Here is a 22,792-nt window from a genome sequence, read left to right as displayed (position 1 = left end):
GTGTTTTGCCTTCATCAAATTTATATTGGAGGTTATTTCTGCCACCCTGATCATTATCATCTATGTTAATTTATATTTTATTATAATTCTTGGTGACACAATGCTAAAATGACCTGGTTTGTCTATGTATTCTGATCTAGTCATTATATAGTACATTGTATATATACATTATATGTATAGTATATTGTATAGTACATAGTACATTGAATAGGACACATGCACAAACACACTTATATAACCACACAAATACACATTTAATCCATATGCTATATATATATATATATATATATATATATATATATATATATATATGGTTTTTTTTTTTTTTTGAGATGGAGTTTCACTCTTGTTGCCCAGGCTAGAGTGCAATGGCACGATCTCGGCTCACTGCAACCTCCACCTCTTGGGTTCAAGTGATTCTCCTGCCTCAGCTTCCTGAGTAACTTGGATTACAGGCGTCTGCCACCATGCCCAGTTAATTTTTGTATTTTTAGTAGAGACAGGGTTTTGCCATGTTGGCCAGGCTGGTCTTGAACTCCTGACCTCAGGTGATCCACCCACCTTAGACTTCCAAAATGCTGGGATTGCAGGTGCAAGCCACTTTACCAGGACTGCCATAATATTTTAAGTTCAATTCAAATTCAATGGAGCAAGTATTTAAGGCCCAACTCTATAACAGACACCATCCAGGGGTTTGGATGAACGTGACCAAGTCCTTCCCTCAAGGAGCCTTCAGTTCATTGAGGAAAAAGACTTGGAGAGAAAGATTTGCCAGGCAGTGGAGAGAAAAACGGCACTGATGCCCCATCCTGAAACTGAGGAGATGTCATCACAGGGAAGACATTTGACTTAGCTCATAGAAATGTAGAGGATTTGAGTAAGAGTGTGGGAAGAGAACAGTATTTCATGGCGGAGAGAGTAGCCTTGCAGTTCTAAGCTTTGGTTTGCAGAGCAGCAGCTTTGGCATCACCTGGGAGCTTGTTGGAAATGCAGATCCTCAGGCCTCAGGGCACACTTCCCAGACCAAGTCAGAATTTGCATTTTAGCAAGATCCCCAGGTGGTTTGTAGATGCTTTAAAATTTGAGACGCACTGGGTAGAACACAGAGGATGAAAAGTCGGGGCCTGTTGGAAGATGGTAACCTGGGCCAATGTGGTTGGAGCACAGAATCCCAGGCAGGGTGCAAGGAGGAGGCTGGAGAATCAGAGGGAGAAAATGCTGCAGTGGAATCCAAGTAGGATTCTTCAGACTGGGTGGGAGTAAACTCTAGGCAATCAATACTTTCTCCTGGAAACATTAACCGCTTCCTCCTCTGATTGATGATCGTATTTTTCTTTGGTTGTGCTTGCTGCCCTGTTACAATGATTGATCTATGTGTCTGCCTTCCTCCCTCCTCCCACTTTCCCCTGACCCCACTGCTGATATTTTAAAACAGACCTATTTGTCGTTGCATCTCTTGAACCTGGTACTCAAGAAATAACTCAACTGAACTGAGTTGTGACTATGAATCACTGAGTCACACAGTAGCCCATCCTCACGTTGCTTATAGTTCAGTATTGTAGACCAGAAAGAGTTGTCAATCATTCATTAATTCACTAGTTCAACAACTATTCATGGCATGCCAGGCACTTTCTACCTTCCCCGTCTGGTTCCTGAGAATGTCTCCCTGCCACCACCTCTCAGCACCCTGGTCCCTCAGACCATCTGACCACTCTGAATAAAGCACATGAGTATTGATCCCATCAGCAGCAGCAAGCTCTGCATACCAAGCACCTTCTCAATAGAAAATGAGATTTCTGCTTCCACTGACACATAAAAAGATTACTAGCATTAATGACAGAAGATGCCAGTGCCCATGGGTGATGGAGACAACACTAGCTGTACTTAGTAAGAGCTAAAATCTTCAGAAAAATCTTTCTAAATTCTGGGCCAGGTCAGAGGAAGAATGGTATTAAAGCAACAAGAAGGGCAACGGCAGCTGGGAGCGGTGGCTTACGCCTGTAATCCCAGCACTTTGGGAGGCCAAGGCAGGTGGATCACAAGGTCAGGAGATCCAGAACATCTTGGCCAACATGATGAAACCCCGTCTCTATTAAAAATACAAAAATTAGCCAGGTGTGGTGGCATGCGCCTGTAGTCCCAGTTACTCTGGAGGCTGAGGCAGGAGAATGGGTTGAACCTGGGAGGCAGAGGGTGCAGTGAGCCGAGACCGCGCCACTGCACTCCAGCCTGGGCAAAAAGAGCGAAACTCTGTCTCAAAAAAAAAAAAAAAAAAAAAAAAAAAAGAAGGGCAAGGGCATTCCAGGAAGATAGAATGGGAATAAATATAAAATCCAAGATAATGTTTAGGGGAGTGTGGGAAGAGGGATCAGAGCACACAGATCTTCAAATATATTAAAAAGCGTCTAGTCTTAAGCTAGGTAGTGTTTTTTACAGTAGTCTTTAACCTGCACCTGCATTTTATATTTCTCCTTTATATGTATGGTATATTCTATATATTTCTAAAAATCAAATATAAATAAGACAGAAAAAGAAAATGAAGCAGCAGGAATGCTTTGTAACAAGTTAGTTAATCTGGCCTCTGATAGATGCTGAAGAAACTTTTTTTTTTATTAACTGAGTCCACATTTATTTATTTATTTAATTTGTGCTTTTGCGACAGGGTCTTGCTCTTTTGCAGTGAGGGCGTAATCATGCTCACTCCAGCCTCAACCTCCCGGGCTCAAGCGATCTTGATCCTCCCACCTTAGCCTCCCGAGTAGCTGGGACTACAGGTGCACACCACCACACCCAGCTAATTTTTGTATTTTTGTAGAGACAGGGTTTTGCCACGTTGCCCATGCTGGCCTTGAACTCCTGGGCTCAGGTGACCCACCTACCTCGGCCTGGGAGGTAGTTTGGGAAAGTGCTGGGATTACAGGCATGAGCCACTGTGGCTGGCCAGTCCATGTTAAAGCAATGTGCTAGGTAGATTTAGAGAGACCAGGTTACAATGGGCCTTGAATGCCCAGCTAAGGAAGCTGGACTTAATACTGTAGGCAATGGGTAGACTTTGAAAGTGCTGAGCAGGGAAGTTATGTGTGTAGAGTGGCATTTTAGAAAGCTAAATCTAGCTGTAATATAAAAGACCCACTGAAGGGTAAGAGCAGAAGGCAGTGAACTCCTTCAGCTATTGCAGCACTCTAGTGGAAGATGCCCAGTGAAGGTGACTATGACCCCGGGGGGAAATGATTAATTGGGAAATCATAATGCAGAGGATGAAGCCAATGCATCTTCAAATTCTGGTGATGCTTTCTCCCTAATTACCTCTGACACTCAACTACTTTCCATCTCTTCTTCATATGCTCTAATCTAGACAACTACAGTAGCTGCCTAAAGCATGTTATGCTCTCTACCCTCTGGTTCTTCCCCAAAATGCTGCCAGCTTGACCTTTTAAAAGCACGAATAAAAATATTGATATTCTCTAGCTTGAAAGTCTACAATGGCTCTATTAGCATTACCTATAACACAATGTAAACTCTAACCCAGCCTCAAGTGCTTTGGCCCTGCCTATCTCCATTTCCAGCTCATGCTATTCTTTCTCCTGCTCTCTGAGTTTAAGCAACATTGCTCCAGAAAATTGCTCTAATTTTATCGAACATGTTATGCTTTTTCCAAAATAGAATCTTGTTTTAAACTAGTTCCCCTCTTTAAAATGCTCCTTTCTCCATCTTTTGCCAGGATAACTTCTCATCCTTTTCACTGTGGCTTATAATGCAGATGAGTGTAATCTTAGTCCTCCTGTAAGCCTGTAAATCTGCAATATTTTAAAGGTCACTAAATAATTTGGAAATTGAATGATGTGAACATTTCTAAAAAAAAAGTGAATTCTTTTTTGAATTATTGTGTTTTGTTACTGAAATTCAAACCACATTTTTTTAACTTCCTTTTTTAAATTATAGCTTTATTTACCACTTCAACTACATTTAGGTAAATAGTTTAGGGGCATAAAGTACATTTAAATGCTGAGAAACTATCATCTAACTCCAGAGCTCTTTTCTTTTCCCAAACTGAAATGCTGCACCCACTAAACATTAACCCCTAATTTCTCCTCTCCTGAGCCCAGCCTCTATGAATTTGGCTACTCTAGGTATCTCATATAAGTGGAATCATACAGTATTTGTTCTTTTATGATTGACTTATTTCACTTTGCAATAATGTCTTCAAGGTTGACCCATGTTGTAGTTTGTGTTAGAATTCTCTTCCTTTTTAAGGATGGATCATATTCCATTGTATGTATATACCATTTTTTGTTTATCCATTCATGTGTTGATGAACATGGGTGTTGTTCTCACATTTAGACTATTGTAAATAATGCTGCTATGAACACAGGTGTATCTACTCATGTTCCTAATTTCATTTTTTTTTATATATTACCAGAAGTGGAATTACAGGATTTCTGTGACAATTCTACGCTTCATGTTTTGAGGAGCTGCTGAACTATTTTCCACAATGGGTGTGCCATTTTACAATCTTGCCAGCAGTGCACAATGGATCTAATTTCTCCACCTTCTCTTCAATACTTCTTTTCCATTTTTTTTACTTGCCATCTTAATGAATGTGGAGCCCATACCACATTTTGTAACATAGTTATAAATTTAGGAATTAGAAGGTCTGTCATCTCATTTAGTCTCTTATGTTCCAGAAGAAGATGAAACCCAGAATTTTCAGTGCCTTATCCCATGTCACCTATCAGAATGGGGCTAGAACCAGGTCTCTTCTTTGCCAATGTTTCATAGAGCCTATTAGACATGGTATATAAGACTACGGGAAAAAAAGCAGTTAAGCGTCAGACTTGAGAATACATCAGAGCTGACATAAAATCATATATGAAATCGAGATAGAAGTCTGACTTTATACTCTCCTATCTTACGAAGTTAGACTGGCACCAGAAAAGTTGGTGAACCTCCAGAGCTTCAGTTTCCTGATCTATCAGATGCATATAGTAATACTTGCCTTGTAGAAATTTTGAAAAGATTAAATTAAATTATTCAAGATCCTATATAGTCCTGAAGCTATTTAGACATTGAAAAAATATTCCTTCCACTGCCAACATCTAGCACAATTTGGGATACATGTTAGGTGCTAAACCAACACTTACTAATTTGACTTGCTTTGACAACAGGGTCTAAAACTGCTTTAGGCTTCAGATTTCTTCTGGCAATTTATTTCCAATTTAGGGTGGGTGCTAACAAAAGGTCAGAGGAACAACGAAAGCAGATGGTCTTCCTGAAGCGTGTGCCAAAAGGATTTGTGAGTGTATTGGGGTGACGTCTCCACCCATCGCACAGCTTGGAGGCTCAAGGGCAGATCCCCAACATTGTACTGGTCCCTTCCTGAGCACTCCCTGGTGCAGACTCCAAGTCTGACAAGGAAAATGTGCTGTGATCATCCTACGGGGGACAGAGCAGCTGCTCCAAGGTGGAGTCTATTGTCAAGGTCCTCCTGGTAACAAAAAGAGGAAAAGGTCTATCAAAGCATTTCCTGCCCGCGGGAGCCATGTGCTTCCATTAATTCTTTTCCCTGAGTCAGTCTGTCTCCCTCAGCTCATGTCTCTCCATGTCCACTGTCCAGAGAAAAGAACAGGCATTTTTAGCAGTTGATTTAAAAACCTTTCCACAAAGTGAGGTTAACGAGAGGAACAAGCTCAGATATTCAGTGGTATGCATCTATATATTTCATAAGGAAGCTGGCACTAAGAAAGGGTGGTTTACGGCAGTTATGATTTTTCAGAAATCTGCTCATGCCCTTCAACTGCTTTGGCACTGCCATGGGTACCTGAGGATAAGAGAGATGTCTCTGCCATCTCTGCACCATCAAGAAATTACAGAAAAACCACAGTGAATATCCTCTGAATATTACATTGGTAACATTCACACATTATAGAAAAAATTAGTTAGTGATGGGAGTGAGTAAACAGTATTTCTGAATGAGTGACTGAGTTTGGTGAATCAAATTTGTTAGCCATGGGAGTCAATAAAAATATATTTCTAAATGAGTGACTGAGTTTCATGAACTAATCTGAATCTCGGTTCAGGGAAGAAGGCCTGGAGGGTGACTCTGATGAATAAGGTAAAATGTGGTCATTTATAGTGCACCCTCTTCCAGAAAAGATAATGTCACAAAGAAAGAAGATGGTGAGCATGGTGTCTACAAACAGAGCAAAGAGAAAGATAGAATTTGACAAATACTTATCCAGCACTGTTATGATGAAAGCCCCTAAGTGCTAATATGGCAGATTGCAAAAAATGGTGGAAGAGAGTCAAGATGCCGTGGCCAACGACCTGCCAATCGGACAGGTGAGTGAAGTCATCCTATATCACCCAGCTACCAACTGACCACGGATGCCTGAGAGAGCTCAGCAGACAAGAGCTGAGTTGGCCCAGGCCAGAAGAACCCAAGCTGACCCACAGAATCATGAGTTAAATTGAATGCTTGTCATTTTAAGTTGCTAAGCACTGGGGCAGCTTGTTATGCAGCAAAAGGTAAATGTTGTAGTGGTCAGTAGCTAAGAGGTCTCTGCTGTGAAGCTAATCCTTCAAACCTTGCCAAAACCAGGGAGAAATTGCCTTCAAGACTCTTGATCTTGCTTTGCTTTCACTTATAATTTTTCCTCCTCCTTGGCACTTAAATTTTTCCCATGGATGAATAAATTAATGGTCCTACATTATCTGTTTATTAATTTATTTATGTATTAATTATGTTTTGAGACAGGGTCTCACTCTGTCACCCAGGCTGGAGTGCAGTGGCATGGTCCTGGCTCACTGCAGCCTCAAATTCCTGGGCTCAAGCAATCCTCCCACCTCAGCCAGGCCCCCAAGTAGCTGGGACCACAGGCACATGGCACCACACTCAGCTAATTATAAAATTTTTTGTAGAGATGAAGTCTTGCTATGTTACCCGGGATGGCCTTAAACTCCTAGGCTCAAGAAATCCTCCCACTTTGGCCTCCCAAAGTATTGAGGTTACAAGTGTGAGCCACCAAGCCTGGTCCTTGTTCATATTGCAGGCTGAGAGTTTAGTTGGCATAAGTAAGTCTTCCCATCTCTCAACCATGGTGCCTAGAGTATTGAATTTCTGGTGTTTCTTAGCTGAAGAGCAGAGTTTTAAGTGGTTATGCCTCTGGCATGCACTTGTCCTGCCCAAGTAACCAGCTCTGTCTTATTTGTGTTGAATTTTTACAAACCTCTCTAACAGCAAAAATGAGCCCCTAAAATTGAAAGAGAAAAATTTAATCACTTTCTTATATCAATTTAAATTTTTTTAAAGGTATAAAGGAATAGTAACTGAAATACATATGAAATCTATCCAATATATACAGAATCCTGGTCTTGACGTCCCTCAAGGATGACAGAGAGTCCACATGCCAGGCTAGATAATCATTGAAGAATCCCAGGCCTCTTTGATCCTGTAAACAAGGTGAGGATGTAGGTATCTTCATCTTCCAAATATATGTAGAATGAAATGACAACACTGGCTTATGTCTACTCAGCGCGATCATGTGATCATTAACAATGAAAAGTTAAAAACCAGATATTCAGATTGTTACTTTGGCCACAAGGTATCCCACCCTTGCTTGGCTAATTTATTTTAGTCAATTGATTTTATGAAGTTATTTTTCTGTGTCAAAGTAATAGGGTCTTCAGAGTTGATATGATATACATTTAGTAATTTTCTTCTCAAATTGAAATTAGATAGTAGCCAATGGCATTTGATCTCCAACAACATCGTGCAGGGCTCTATTCCACCAAGATTCCCACACTTCTTGAGCACAGATTATGAAGCCCTCTAAACTCATTCTATTCATGCTGAAATTCTTACTATATAAGGTAAGATAGATAGAATTACTTTTGTGATGAGCACAGCCTTTTTCCTCGTATATCACTTGGAGATTTTAAACCTTCCCAGCGTTGCTCCCTTCCCTCCTTTCACTCACCCAAATGAAATGCCCAGCGCTGTGACATATGACCCTGAAGCTGGAAGGAGAATAGGAGAAAACAATACAAGAACTTGTTCACTTCCACTGAACATTTGAAGCCATTCCTGTATAATGAAAAGCAAACAAAGTTTTTAGTGGCAGAAATGCACCATTGCACAATGCCATTTCGACATGGCTCTTTCAGCATGAACTGTGGTTCATCCCCAGGTTCAGCTATTTAATGCTAATGGAACACTGTTGACTTAGCCCTCCTTGGAGATGCTTAAGAGACAAAAAGGGTACAGATGTTGACTTCAGAGGTTAATAAACAAATACCTCATTTTTAAGGGATATTTGTGTGTTCATGTTCAGAAAACACTTATGAGGAACCCACCCCACGCCAGAGCCTGTGCAAGAAGCTTTGTAGAATTCAACCATGAGCAAAGTGTTGTCCTGGTCCCCAAGGACCTTACCTTCACAGATATCATACTTAACTTGTGGGTGTTTTCACATATGTTGCCTTATGTTATGCTTACAACAAGCAAGAGAAAGAAATACAAAGATGTTATGAGCTGAACTCTGTTTCCCCAACCAAAATTTACGTGTTGCGGTCTTAATCCCCAGTACTTCAGAATGCAACTGCATTTAGAGACAGGGCCTTGAAAGAGGTTGGTAAGTTAGACTAAAGTATTTAAAGTGGGCCCTAATTCAATATAACTAATGTCCTTATAAGAAGAGGAGATTAGGATATGGACACACACAGAGGGAAGACCATGTAAGACACAGGGAGAAGATGGCCAAGAAGAAACCAACCCAGTTGACAGCTTGATCTCAGACTTTCCCCCTCCAGAACTGTGAAGAGGTAAGTTTCTGTTGTTTAAGCCACCCAGTTGGCGGTACCTTGTTACAGAAGCCTTAGTAAACTAATACAGAAGGTATTATTGTCCCTATTTTATAAATGTTAAAGTGAGGTTATGAGACATTAAGTAATTTACTAAAAATTTACACATACCTCATAAATAGCTGAGGCAGGATTAGAATCCAGGTCTTCGTAAACCCTATAAACTCCTCTATTGATCTTTCTACTGCCAACCACGCTGTATGCACATCGAGCTATCCCACTATGTAACAGCCAAGACCAGGGCTAGGAAAAATTAAGATGTTTTTCTTAGTGAAATACTACCTTTGGTTGTTTTCTTCCTTACCAATTTCAGGTGTTCTCTGTCCTTGGTTTCAATCTTTCTGTTCTTCTGCCACTCTCCTTGTATGATTAAAACCACACGATCTCAGTGGAAGATATTTGCTGTTAGGAAGGAAGTGCTTTGTTAAATGCTAATATTCTAGTTTATAGAAGTGACTGCTAGTGATAAGTGCTACTCATTCTTTTTTTTTTTTTTGACAGGGTCTCACTCTGTTGCCCAGGCTGGAGTGCAGCGGTGCAATCACAGCTCACTGCAGCCTCGACTGCCTAGGCTCGAGGAATCCTCCCACCTCAGCCTCACCATGTTTGTATTTTTTTGTAGGCAGGGTTTTGTCATGTTGCCCTTGCTGGTCTTGAACTCGTGAGCTCAAGAGATCCTCCTGCCTCGGCCTCCCAAAGCGCTGGGATTACAGGCGTGAGTCATCACGCCCAGCCTAATTCTTACTTTTGAAAAGACAAACTTCTCTGGACTAAGAAATGAATCTCCATAATAGCAGGCAAGTGGTAAATATATTTAGGGGGAGACAGCCCTTACATTCTTTGGAAAAATGTGTTTTCATTGCTGCAACTGTATGCTTTATGGGAGCCTGATGGGAGTTAGATAATGATGTGATCATTGTGAGTTGGTAGGATTTCTTAAAACAAATAAAATTTAGAGCAAAATCAAAATGATGGTATTATTTGAATTAGAGATAGTAGGAATAAAGTATTCCACAATAAAGTCCTAGTCACATTTTGCTGCAGTTGTTCGGTCCGAAAGGTATTGAGGCCTGCAATATGCCTGGGGATACATGGATGAACTGAAATGAGCCGTGTCCTCACACCATGCACAGTTTGTGATTTTAATCTAGGTCAGTGCTTCTCAATATGACTGAGCAGCAAAATCACCTGGGGAGTGACTGAAGCACGGAGCTAGCAGGTGTCCAGCCCCAGAAACTCTGAATCATTAAGTCCAAAGGCCTGGATTTTTAAAAGTCCCCAAGGAGACTGTGATAAGAGTAGGCCTGGAAACAGTTGCTCTGTCCTAGGTATTCTGCAATGTCAGGGGAAGATGGTCCTCAGACACAGCATTTCAGATACTGTGGCTGCCAGTACCCTTCAGGATCACTGGGCTTCTCTGGAATCTTTCAGATGATAAAACCTGGGCATAAATAATAAACATAGACAAATTGCAAAAAAATTTAAAGGATAGGTAGTGGTAAGAAACAGAAGATTTCTTTTTGGTCAAATATACATGTATCAAGGTAGATAAATATCAGACCGAAATTCAAGAAAGAAAAAACCCAGAATGAATTAATTAACATAAATACATACTGTAATTATTCTCTTCAAAATATATTTATTTTTGGAGGGTATCTGTATTAGTCTGTTTTTACGCTATTATAAAGATACTACCTGAGACTAGGTAATTTATAAAAAAAGAGGTTTAATTGACTCACAGTTCCACATGGCTGGGGGGGGCCTCAGGAAACTTGCAATCATGGCGGAAGGTGAAAGGGAAGCAAGGCACGTCTTACATGGTGGCAGGAGAGAGGGAGGTCAGGGGAAACTGCCACTTTTAAACCATCAGCTCTCATGAAAACTCTCTCACTATCACAAGAACAGCATTGGGGAAACTGTCTCCATGATCCAATCACCTTCCACCAGGTCCCTCCCTCAACCTGTGGGGATTACAATTCAAGAGGAGATTTGGGAGGGGACACTGAGCCAAACCCTATCAGTATCATTTTCAATTAATGACAGAATTAATATGGTAAAACAAATTCTAACTAATGCCATGAAATCAAACCCTCTTTCTTGGTCTTTATATTATGAAGTGCTACCAACAGAAGAGCCAATGTAACATAAGAAATGGTTCCATATATCTCATGTTCTTTATAGCTGACTGTAGAGCTTTGTACAAATACCTAGTCCTAAAAACAATGCCTGGAGAGTTTGGGACCAAGAATCTCTATTTTGAAAACTTTACATATGAATGCAATTCTCACCAACAGTGGAGATTGTCTCAGTGACTCTGTCATTGCTTGGCTATGGAAGAGATAGTCAAAATATTGCCAGCCAGCCAGCCCTGGCACAGGCACCAACCAACCAGAACGGAGGCAGGCTATTAAAAAGCAGAGATATACATACAAAAACTGATTTTCCTCACATTGTGCCTTCAGCAACCATTGGCTAAAGATGAAAACTTTTAAACTAGGCCTTTATCATACTTAAGAGAAATTCTTATCATATATGGAATACCAACTGGTCCAGAAAAAAATCCTATCACGTAAGGTGGCACAGTTGCTATTTCCCATTGATGTAGAATATAAGAGCTGATAAAGGTCACAGACATCATCCGTCTGGTCTAGCTGTTTTTTTTCTTACAGATGAAACCCAGAGATAAAAAAGGAATTTGTCTAAGGCAGGGTCGGGAAAAACCCCAGAATTCCAGGCTCAGTCTGGGGTTGTTTGCTCAACACGATGCTATTGTCCACAGATGAGGAAACAAAAGCTCAGGGAAAAAAGCTGATATGCTTCTAGTAGGATTATGTGTCTGTACTGTGTGCGTGCACATGTGTGTGCATGTGTCTGTGTGCACATGTGTGTGTATGTGTGTGTGCATGCTTGTGTGTAAGGAGTACAGAGGGGAGAAAGCAGCTACACTAAAAGTCTTCTGATTACTCATCCACTTTTAATTTAAACAACAACAACGACAACAACACTGCTAAATCTTACTGGCACAGGATGCTTATTTCCAAAGCTCTGTAACATAGTTTTGCCAGTACTTTGCTGAACCATATCCACTGTCAATGTGTATAGACATTGAAATAGAACACATTTGCATTACCCATGATAATCACTTAAAATATCTGGAAACTGTTTGCAGAAGAGTTTTTCAAGACAAAAAAAAAGAGCTTATAACCATTTATTTATAATACTTGTTAAATAATAAGACTCATTATAAGGATCAGGTGTAGTCACAATTTCTTAAATATTTAATTGGGCAATATATTAGTTTGCTGTTTCCACAATCGGGCCTCACAATGCTTTTCTTCATAATCTTTTACTTCTGTTTTATCTTCAGCTGCCACATTGCTGCCCACTGTTATTGAACTGCAAAGGTCCTCTATAGCTTTTCATTCAGTGTGAAGCTACAGAGTTCTGCAGAATCTGACCAAGTTCAACTGCTAGATGGTGGATTATTTTTCAAGCTATTAACCGTATCTTTTCCTAGGACCCAATACACAGTAGCTAGACAGTAAATGTTACTTTTAATGTTTCTCTATTACCTCCAGAATATATAAAATTAATACTTACACTTGTCATTTAAAACCCAGCTGCCTTTCTTTTTTTCAAGATGGAGTCTCGCTCTGCAGCCCAAGCTGGAGTACAGTGGGGTGATCTGGGCTCACTGCAACCTCCGCCTCCCAGGTTCAAGTGATTCTCACGCCTCAGCCTCTCAAGTAGCTGGGATTACGGGCACGCACCACCACACCCTGCTAATTTTTGTATTTTTTAGTAGAGACAGCGTTTCACCATGTTGGCCAGGCTGGTCTGGAACTCTTGACCGCAAGTGATCTGCCTGCCTCGGCCTCCCAAAGTGTTGGGCTTACAGGAGTGAGCCACGGCACCCGGCCCTGGCTGCCTTCCTAATTATTAGCTGGGAATGCTTAGGCCCCTAGTCAGACTGAACTGCCTGGAGATTTTCAAATACTCTTTCCTGCCTCCTTGTCTTGGCAAATACTATAGGCATAGGCTGAAATAAAAATTTTTCTCTCTACTCCCCCAACTCCTACTTTAAAACAGGGAAAATTCTCTGTGGAATTTGCTAGGGTCTCCTCCAACTGGATTAGGCCTCCTCCAATTCTCCTGCTACTCCCCAAACACGCAGACATACAGACACAGACACACACAAGCACACACACACATGCACAAGCACACACGCACACACAAACACAAACACACGCGCGTGCGCGCACACACACACACACATAATTCCTGCCTTATGCTTCCAGAGCATTCTGTCTAAACTCCCATCACACTTCTCACCGTGTGATACCCCTTTTAAAAACCTTTCCTGTTCTTCTGATATGGAGAACCAGGATCCATTCTGGCCATGGAGGCTCCCACATATGGGTGCTTACTGTATTTTTGTTGAATGGGTAAGATACAAATGCTGCCCTGCCCCCCACATCTGTTCTGCTGGGAATCCATACAGGCTGTTCTGAGAAACCCTCATGTGGAGTATAGAAAGGTCAACTAAATACTCTGAAAAAACATGCAATCCTCAGGCCATGGCTTCATTATTAGTTTACTAGCAGATGAAACTTTCTAAGGGAATGTCAATTGCGTACCCTGGTTACCCTCCGATGATGAGAAAAATATAGTCAACCATACACCCTGGACCCCTTTCTCAGAAAATCCTATCTGCTGGACAAATCCCCCTTTGCTGTGGGCCAGGGGATGAACTGAGTGAATAAAATATTGAATCCATGGTTTCTGAGTTCCTTCAATGAACAAACTAAGACCCAAAGCTTACGTGTGGCCTTGTGTTCCAGGATGCTAATACAAGTGTTATTTTAACTGCAGGCTTGAAAGCCTGTATCTAAGCACATCCTTGATACAATTAAAACTATTAAACTAAGACGCTTTCCCCATGTAGCACGTGTAACAAATAAATAGACAAACATACCCAGGTCAGATAAAAGTGATGCTTCAGAGGCCAGGCCTTCCTGTCTTCATGACTGACTAACATAGAAGTATCGTTACTTAAAAGAAAAAGAGAAGCTTGGTTTCTCCTAAAGAACCGGTATAGTCTAGTGGCTGGGAATGAAGGCCAGAGTTCCTGGATTTGATTTCTGGAGTTATTAGCTGCGTGTCATTGACCAAGTTACTGCACCTCTCTGTGCTTCAGTTTTATTACTATATTACACACGCACATGCCCTTAGCATTTATGTCATGGCACTAATTAAGTGATGTATTAGTAATACACAAAAAAAACACTTAGAAAATTGTCTGACTGAGAGTAAACACTCAGTGAAAGTTATTACTGTGATCTCATGATACAAATATGATTAACGAGCTATTTAATCTTTGCTGCTTTCATTTCTTCAATTACAGTGAGATGTCCTGAGATATATTTGTTTATCCTTGTGCCATAAATTTCTAAACTGAACCAATCCTCCCTGTTCTACTGATGTTTATTTTCACCTCACATTAAGTAATGAATGTATTATGAAGCTAAAAATCATCCTTATGCAATTAAATTGATTCCAACTTTTGTTCTCCATGAATGGTAAAGATGACACGTTTGTGATAATCTACTGGATGTGTTATTATTCTCCATACCATTGTGGAGTGCATCCAAATTGCTTTTTAATTTGTCTCCCATGTTACAGCCTTGAAATCAGAAAATAACGTAATATACTGCAAGAAAACAACTTAATACATGCTAATGTGAAAAGAGGAGAAGATATACTTTGTACCCTATTGAAAACAACAGTGGCAGAGTAAATAGTTATGAGTATGTATAATACACTTAACTCTTGAACTACATTTAGCATCCAAGTGTGCTTCAATTTTTGAATAGAAAATAAAGATTTTCACTGATGGGCCCTATCAGGAGAAGGAAGTTATTTCTAGCACACGCAGTGAACATTAAGAAAGCTCAGTTCATAAGGATGGGAAAGTAGGGTTATGGAGCCGAGGGCCTCTTTACAGCCTTCTCTTTCATACTCCCGTAACACAGCACAGTGAAAATGAAACAGGGAAAATTTCTATGGAATTGTCTAGTATGTCCCCAGCCTGGGTTAGGCTTCCTCCAATTCTCCTGCTACTCCGCAAACCCTTTTTCTGTTTATAACTTTTTTTGGAGTTATAGCTGTCTCTACAAATCTCGTGAAAATTATCAATATTCCTCTTAGAAAAATGCACACACACACACACACACACACACACACACAATTTTGCATATTAATGTGTTATCTTCCGGAATGCTCTCTTGGAAAGAACTCATTTTTAATAAAGTGCTTTGCATTATCTTCAGTGAACGAGTAAATTACTATTTGAAAATAGAATTTGCCATTTGATTTTCTTTTTAAAAACATAGTATTTATAATCCTGACTTGTAACCCTCCCAGCAGATGTGAGGTAATTCACTTGTTTTGACTTACTGTGATCAGCATTTTGAAAAACACTTTAGGTGTTTCTAAAATGCTTAACTTGTGGAAAAATTTCATTTTTGTTAGGAAAGCATAGCAGGCATTTACGTATGCTGTCCTAGAAACATTTTATTATAGTTTTAACGGGAAATAAGCAAAGAGATAATATTATTTCTATATTTGTTCCTATTAAACAAACAGTAGTAACACACAGAATCTTGGTCATCACTCAGACTCTAAACCCAAAACATATTGCTTGGGAAAAATAGATGTACACATGTACATAGCTACTGTAATCATAGAAGAAATTTTTCAAAAGTATGAAGAGAAAGCCTTTTAAAACTCATCCTTAATGGATACATAAATAGAAATGCCAAGGAGTCAATCTATGAACTTCTATATCTATATTTTATATTTTAAGATTGGGACAGAGAAACTTCCCAGATATTTGACGTAAGAATTTGTTTTGAAAAAGTTTGGTAATTAATATAAAACTACTCTAAAATTAACTTTTATTGTTAGAGACACATCTTTAGAAAAGTTTGTAAATATCAACATTTACCATCTTATTTTTTCCTTTGAGACCAAGCATCACAGACCAAAAGCCACAAAGTTTACAATAATTTATTATTGTTGCATGACATTTGCCAGTAAAATAAATTATAGAAACTATAGAGTCTTTATAAACTATTTTGTATATCATATTCACTTCCTAATGCTTACTGCAGTAACTGTATGAAATTTAATTAGATTACGTTTTAGCATTAGTCAGAAGATTTAAAAAATATGTAAAATGTTTTCACAGTACTTTGGATTTATAAAAGACCCCATTATTTTAACTTTTGTGCAACCTGTTTGAAATGTATAAAAAACCTTTTACAAACCAAAAGGTGGCGTAAGGTTTTACTGAGTTGCTGAAGACATCTTACTTTCTTGAATTTCTACTTAACATCCATGTGGTGCACTTTTTCAGGCATTGTAATAAGTGCAAATAAATAATCAATTATTGATTTCTAAAAATCTATACCAATAGACAATACTCAGGCTTGGAAATATTTTGAACACTCAGATATAAAAATTCAGTAAACAATTTATGCATGGTATTTTCTCTCCCTGTCCTCCCTCTCCCTCCTCCCTTCCCCTATCTATTTGGTTAAAAAAAAAAAAAAAAGTTCAACTTCGATTTAAGTCCTAGGGCCTGACAAAGTGACCCTGGATAAATGTCATCTCCAGCCATCTGTTTTCTTTAGTTCTCATTACATCTGTCCAGGCTCTTCTATCAGCATCAATCCTTTCCTGCAGGGACGGAAGAGTTTTCAAATCCTTGCTGAAAGCATTTTGTTCTCCTCTGTAACAGCACAGGGCATGAAATTGTTTGGAGTCTTTGTAACCAGTCTGTTCAGTCCTGGTCCCTTTCCAGTCCCGGTCCCTTTCCAGCCTCTGGAGTCCTGACAGAAGAGAAGCTTGTAAGGTAGCAGCAAAATGCTGCATCTGTTAGAATCTCACAAACTCACTTGGTCTTTGAATGTCCATTCTTGGATAACGTCCTTATCCATCCTCTTCTCTTCAGTGAACTTTGATGGAATATTTCCGCAGTTTCAGAAACTGGAAAAGCTTGTCTTTTGTCCTCTTCTTCAAGGCCATCAGGGCACGCGTTTTCTCCTCCACATCTTGATCTATGGCAAAAATGATCTTGGCTCTCTCCTCTGCTTTCTTGTCTCCAGAGTTTCTGAAGAGCCTTTCTAGTGATTCTTGGTCTGTGTTTTCAAAGATGTTGCCCACGGCTTTCTTACGAGAGGCTGTGTCGAAGTGGTAGCCATGGATGGATGGGCTGACTCGTAGCGACGTGGACATGATGACGGCTTGGTGGCTTCGCTTTGCTTTCATCGATGTGGGGATCTTCCGGAATTCAGCTCCCAGGCTTTCCAGAGAGTCTGTAGTGAAATCATTCTGGGACTGCTATTTAAAGTGTGAACAAAAGCTCCAGGCTCAAATTACACTGGTGACATCAGAGTGATCTCAAGGAAGAATAATCACAGAAAGGCTTAACAGTTGAGTTGCCAATATCCTGTTCTTGTGTAAAACATTACTAAAAGCTGTGTTCAGTGATTAGGCGCAAGGCTGTGAGTACTCATTTTACTTCCTATGTGGCAGTAGGATAATACAGACCTGGGCCTTCCTTTAAGAAAATAGCTGAATACAGGAAAATGCAAAGATAAGACATAAACGAGGTTGCTTAGACTCTCAAATCTTCCCAAACGACAGTTAGAACAAGGGGTTCTGCTAACTACAGGAAAGCTTTCGTTCGCAGAGAAGTAATTAAAGTGCACTGCAAACATTTGGCAGTCCACATCAGTGCCCTTTGGACATCCATATCAGGGGCAACTCCAGAGCTACTGAGAGAAAGCTGAGCAATCAAGGATAATAATTTGGGGTGTGATCAATTCTAGGATGGGATTTTACATACAAAACGCTGACATGACACAGCTTGAAACGGTGACTTTTCAGAGATTGTGTACAAGTGCTAAGTGTCACTGAAGACCATTGTAATTTGGGTGTAGTAATAATATGAATAGTAGAGGCTATCTCCTTAGGCTTGTGTATACATCCACAACAATAGCTATCAAAAAAGCCAGCAGGAAAAGTTAATCAAGTGTTTTACGTGCACAGTGCCCAAAATGAACGAGGTGATCTTTTGTTTTCAAATTTATTTTGGCATTACCCAGACATAGAGCAATAACTTCTTTGGAAGCATATAAATGTGTTCTTCCTGTCTTCCACAATATTCAAGCCAGCCAGTGTCCTCACTGACCTATGGAGTTGTCATATGCTAAATGTGAGCTTCAAAGGGTCCTGGAGATTCTCTTTGTGGATCTTACGCCTGGTCCGCTTTCTAGTCCTTTAAGAAAGCAGGACAGGTCTTTTCGTTTTTCTTTTTATCTAGTCAAGTAAGATCTAGAAAATGCGCAAAGGGAGACACCGTGGGGAAGGTACCTCACTAGGAAATTAAGTTAGAGACTCTCCTTATATTTTAATTCATTCATTCACTTACTCGTTTATCCACTCATTTATTTAATCAATATTTATTAAAGGTGTGTTATTAGCCAGAACTTTTTGAGGCATTGGAAATGAAACAGAAAACCAAACAAAACCAACCTAACCAAACCATGCAAAGAATCCCTTTTTTACCTTAATGAAGTTTATGTTCTACTGGGAAATAGACAATAGAAACATACATTTATAATATATATCATGTCAGAGTAAGGAATATTATGAGTAAAAATGAAGCAGAGTTGTACAGGAGTGGAAGGAGAGGGTTGAGATTTTCCTAGGATATTCAGGCACAGCTTCTTGTAATGAGACATTGTGCAAAGACTTGAAGGTGGTGAAGGAGGCAGTCAGCTATATGGATATCTGTAGGAAGGGTGCTGCCAGAGAAGCAAGTGCAGAAGGTTGAAGAAAAGAGTGTGCAAAGAGTGTATGGAGAACAGCCAGGGACCAGTGTGGTCAGAGCAGAGTGAGCAGGGCAGAGTGGGAGGAGATGAGGTAAGGGCGAGTAGGCAGTGGAAAGAGGGCAGGAGCAGGCTGTGTGCAACCTCACAGGCTTTGATTGTGGATTTAGCTCGTACACTGTTAGGAGACAGGTGGGCTTTGGAGAATTTGGAGCAGAGAAATGGCATGGTTTTCCTTATAATTTTAAAAGCTTACTGACACTTCTTAGAAGAGAATAGATTTCAGGGAAGCAAGCAGGGAGTGGGGAGCAGGAAGACTAGTCAGGAGATGTTCAATAATCCAAGAAAGAGAGGATGAAGGCTTCCACTAGGGAGAATGTGGAGGTAGTGAGAACTGATCCAATTCTGGCATATTGTGAAGGTAAAGCTAAGACGATTGCTGAAAAATTAGATGCGAGGAATGAATAACAAACAGGAGCCCAGGCTGATCTCTTCTGAAGGATGCCTCCTTGAAAGACATTTCCAGGTGTGCCAGTGGTCAACTCTCCAACCATGCAGCTCATGTGTGTTCCAGTTTTTCCAAGGGTTCCAGAAGAGCCCTTTGTTCTGCTGTCTATGTCTATGGATTTACAGGCCTATATAGCACACCTTTGTGGCAGCATCGTTTCCCTTGCTAAATTTAAAAAAAAATTATTATTATGGCAACAAGGATTTACTGAGCTTTTATTATGTGCCAAGCAGAGGACAAGAGATTCACAAAACCTCTCTTAATTATTGTCATAACTCAAGGATTTATCAAAGTTCTTTTTTTTTTTTTTTTTTTTTTTTTTTTTGAGACGGAGTTTTGCTCTTGTTGCCCAGGCTGGAGTGCAATGGCGTGATCTCTGCTCACCACAACCTCCGCCTCCTGGTTCAAGTGACTCTCCTGCCTCAACCTCCCGTGTAGCTGGGATTACAGGCATGAACCACCATGCCAAGCTAATTTTGTATTTTTTTTTTAGTAGAGATGGGGTTTCTCCATGTTGGGCAGGCTGGTCTCGAACTCCTGACCTCAGGTGATCCACTCGCCTCGGCCTCCCAAAGTGCTGGGATTACAGGCGTGAGCCACTGTGCCTGGCCTCAACCTTCTTATACTATGTTCTTTCTTGAAGTGATTCTTATGTGGGCTCATGCTTTTTCTGATACCCTACTTATTGATTACTCCTAAATTTTGATCCCTACCTAGCCCTGGCCTCTGAAGTGTTAAACTCATTTATTCATCTAACTAATCAATACAAATATATAAAAATATGTTATACATATTCATTCTGTTATAAAATAAACCTGGCTATGATCCTTAATAACTCCTTTTCTTTCTCTCCCTACACATAATCTATGGCCAAGTTCTGTCAGTTCTATCTAGAAAATGTTCCCAAAGCCATCTACTTTCTCTCTATTTTCATTGCCATTTATGCCAGCCCTTCATATGGTGGATGCTGTGATGCATGATCCAGAATTCCCTTTAAGATTTTCCCAGGTGCTTAGCTATCAGCCCGCTTCAGGGACTGATACTACTGAAGAAGTTTATGTCACCTAAGGGTACCCTTTTTCCCTTCCAGGTGCAGCTATATCCAGTGACTGATCCACATGGTGGTGTAAAATCCTGCTCTCCTTGTCCGTATCAACTCTAAGGGGTCATCTAAACTTCAGAGCACCTTTCAGGGTAGGCTGAGATCTCCCTCTGTCCAATCCTGCATCTTTCCCATCTGCAGGCATTGATCCCAACAGCACTCTACAACCAGTCACCTGACTGCTGATCTGCATCTCAGAGTTTGCTTCCTAGGGACCCCAGCCTAAAATACTGTATCATCTCTTGCTAGACTAAGATCAAGTAACTCACTTTCCTGGCTCTCCTGATTTGCCTCTTGCCCCAAATTCCCTACACAACACCCAGAGCCATATTTCCTAGTAAGCACTCTGATTGAACCACTCTTGAAGTAAACTTTGCATGACCTCTTTGAACATGACCTGCTATGTCTTTATGCCTTCAGATTCCTTGGATACACCACATTCATTCCTGTAGTGAGGATTTGCACATCTTTTTCCTTTTTCTGGAATGTTCTTTTATACTTTTTGTCTCGGGTAGGTAATTCCTGGTTATTCATACAATCTCAACTAAAAGCTACTTTCTCAGAGAGGCTTTCCTAATTCTTGCCAACATACCCATTACTCTTCCTTAGCACTTTGTATTAGAGTTTGCAAACATATCTTTATTTGGGGGATTCTCATTTAAAGGCCCTATCAAGAGCAGGGATTGGATCTACCTTTCTCACTATGTTCAAAGTTCCAAGGTCACTTAATAAAAGGATTGTTTTTATAGTAATGTTAAATGACAGCATATGCAATTATATTTAATTCTCATAACGACCCTTTGCAATAGGAACTATTGCAGATCTTAAATCAAAGATAAGAGAACTGAGGCAATAAATGGAATGATGTAATAAATGGAATGATGGCTCCATAAGAGGTCCATGTTTTAATCCCTGAAATTTATGAATATAAGCAAAAGGGAACTTTAAATAGCAAAAGAGCTTTTGCAGGTATGAACAAGTTAAACATCTTCAGATGTGGAGATTTAGCTTGGATTATCCGGGGCAGCCCATGTAATCATGAGTTCTTATAAGAAGGAGTCAGAAGGTCAGAAAGGAGAGAAGATGCTGGGTTATTGTCTTTGAAGATGGAGGAAGGAGCCGTGCTCCAAGGAATGTGGACAACAGTTAGAAACTGGAACAGGCAAGGAAACAGATTCTTGCCTAGATCCTCCAGAAAGAACAGATTCCTGCAGACCCATTTTAGACATCTGGCATTCTAAACTATGAGATAATAAATTTGTGTTTATTATAACTCACTAAATTCATGTCAGTTTTTTACAGCAGTAATGGGAAAATAATATACTCCCCTCACCCTTCAGCTGTAAGACAACCTGAAGCCAGGGCTACTTGACTGCAAAGTCCATAATCTTAAACTCTATCCTGCATTGCTTTCAAATTAGCTGCAAGCTCTGTCTTCAGAAAGTCTGGATTATATTTTTACATGACATTGAACAGCTCTCCTTGAGTACTGCCTACAAGCATTCAGATGAATTTGAGAGATTAAGGAGTTTCAAAATTGTTTAGAGGACAGGACCATCTGCAGGGAAACAATGTCAGTTTCTGTTTCCCAGAAATGTGACACATGCCCTAAGGTTATGATTTGCTGATCCTTTTTGCCAAAGGTAACTATGTATGCTTGGAAAGGTGTTTACTGTTGCCATCCTGTTCTTTCCCTTCTTTATATAAATATTTTCAGTGAATGATGTGGATAACAGGATCTAAAAAGATATTCGCAAGATTCACAAATTGCATGTGGACACCTTACGGAATTGTGCTTTCTGCAGTAAAGACAGAAGATAATAATGAAGACTGATTAAAAGAAGCAGCTTCTGGTCTAGCGTATTTTCTTCTGTGCATCAGTTTTCCTGTATTTGTTCATTATACAAAGAGATTTAGTATTTATTTGCCAGCAATAAATGAGCTTCCTTAGTTTTGTGTCCAATAAAGAGATTTTAGAAAAAAAAGGTAAAGAAGAAAACAAAAATTTCTTAAGTGACTAGTATATCTGGTTTTCTACATCTAATAACTAAATGACTCTTTACAACCATATTGGAGGTAGGTATTATTGACCTTAATTTTCAACACAAGTAAGGAATTGGACTCATTGAGGCTAAACAATATGTCCGTGCTAAGTGTAAAACCTGATTTCATTTCCAAAATTTTTTTATATCTCCAAAATCTTTTCTGCCAAGAGTTTCCTTAATCTTTGTTGCTCCTCCTTTTGCCATGCACTGTGCCTTAGGTTTATCTTTTTAAATTAAAAATGATGGTGCATTCTTACTTATAGCTTTAGTGCATGGTATAGCAGCTGGTACACAGTGTACATCCAATGAACAGTTATTTAATTACTACATTAATAGGCAAAAGAAATTAAGTGCACAGAATTTACTTTGATGATGTCTTTGT

At 39.8% G+C, this 22,792-nt stretch overlaps 1 protein-coding gene and 1 long non-coding RNA gene across 6 annotated transcripts in view; both read right to left on the bottom strand.

The window, feature by feature from the left end:
* The window catches only part of LINC02866 (long intergenic non-protein coding RNA 2866), a 69,001-nt gene that overhangs the window by 2,348 nt on the left and 43,861 nt on the right, over nt 1-22,792 (bottom strand). For 2 of the 5 annotated variants that reach the window (NR_186440.1, NR_186441.1), the window contains 2 exons: nt 9,164-9,261; nt 7,977-8,016 (listed from right to left, as the gene is read on the bottom strand). This is a non-coding gene — a long non-coding RNA (long intergenic non-protein coding RNA 2866). Of the gene's footprint in view, nt 1-5,141; nt 5,486-7,888; nt 8,084-9,163; nt 9,262-10,047; nt 10,301-22,792 lie in introns of all 5 variants that reach the window. The other 3 variants (NR_186439.1, NR_186438.1, NR_186442.1) reach the window with 3 other exon arrangements.
* On the bottom strand, nt 15,413-17,241 carry TCIM (transcriptional and immune response regulator). The gene has a single exon (NM_020130.5). The coding sequence runs from the start codon at nt 17,188-17,190 to the stop codon at nt 16,870-16,872; it is 321 nt and encodes a 106-aa protein (NP_064515.2). The 5' UTR covers nt 17,191-17,241; the 3' UTR covers nt 15,413-16,869.

The sequence above is a fragment of the Homo sapiens genome, chromosome 8 (assembly GCF_000001405.40).
Source record: "Homo sapiens chromosome 8, GRCh38.p14 Primary Assembly".
Taxonomy (NCBI): domain Eukaryota; kingdom Metazoa; phylum Chordata; class Mammalia; order Primates; family Hominidae; genus Homo; species Homo sapiens.
This window is presented reverse-complemented; position numbering and strand designations above follow the sequence as displayed.

Excerpts from the sequence above, each read along its gene's own strand:
- TCIM (NM_020130.5), bottom strand. The coding sequence starts at position 17,190 with ATGAAAGCAAAGCGAAGCCACCAAGCCGTCATCATGTCCACGTCGCTA.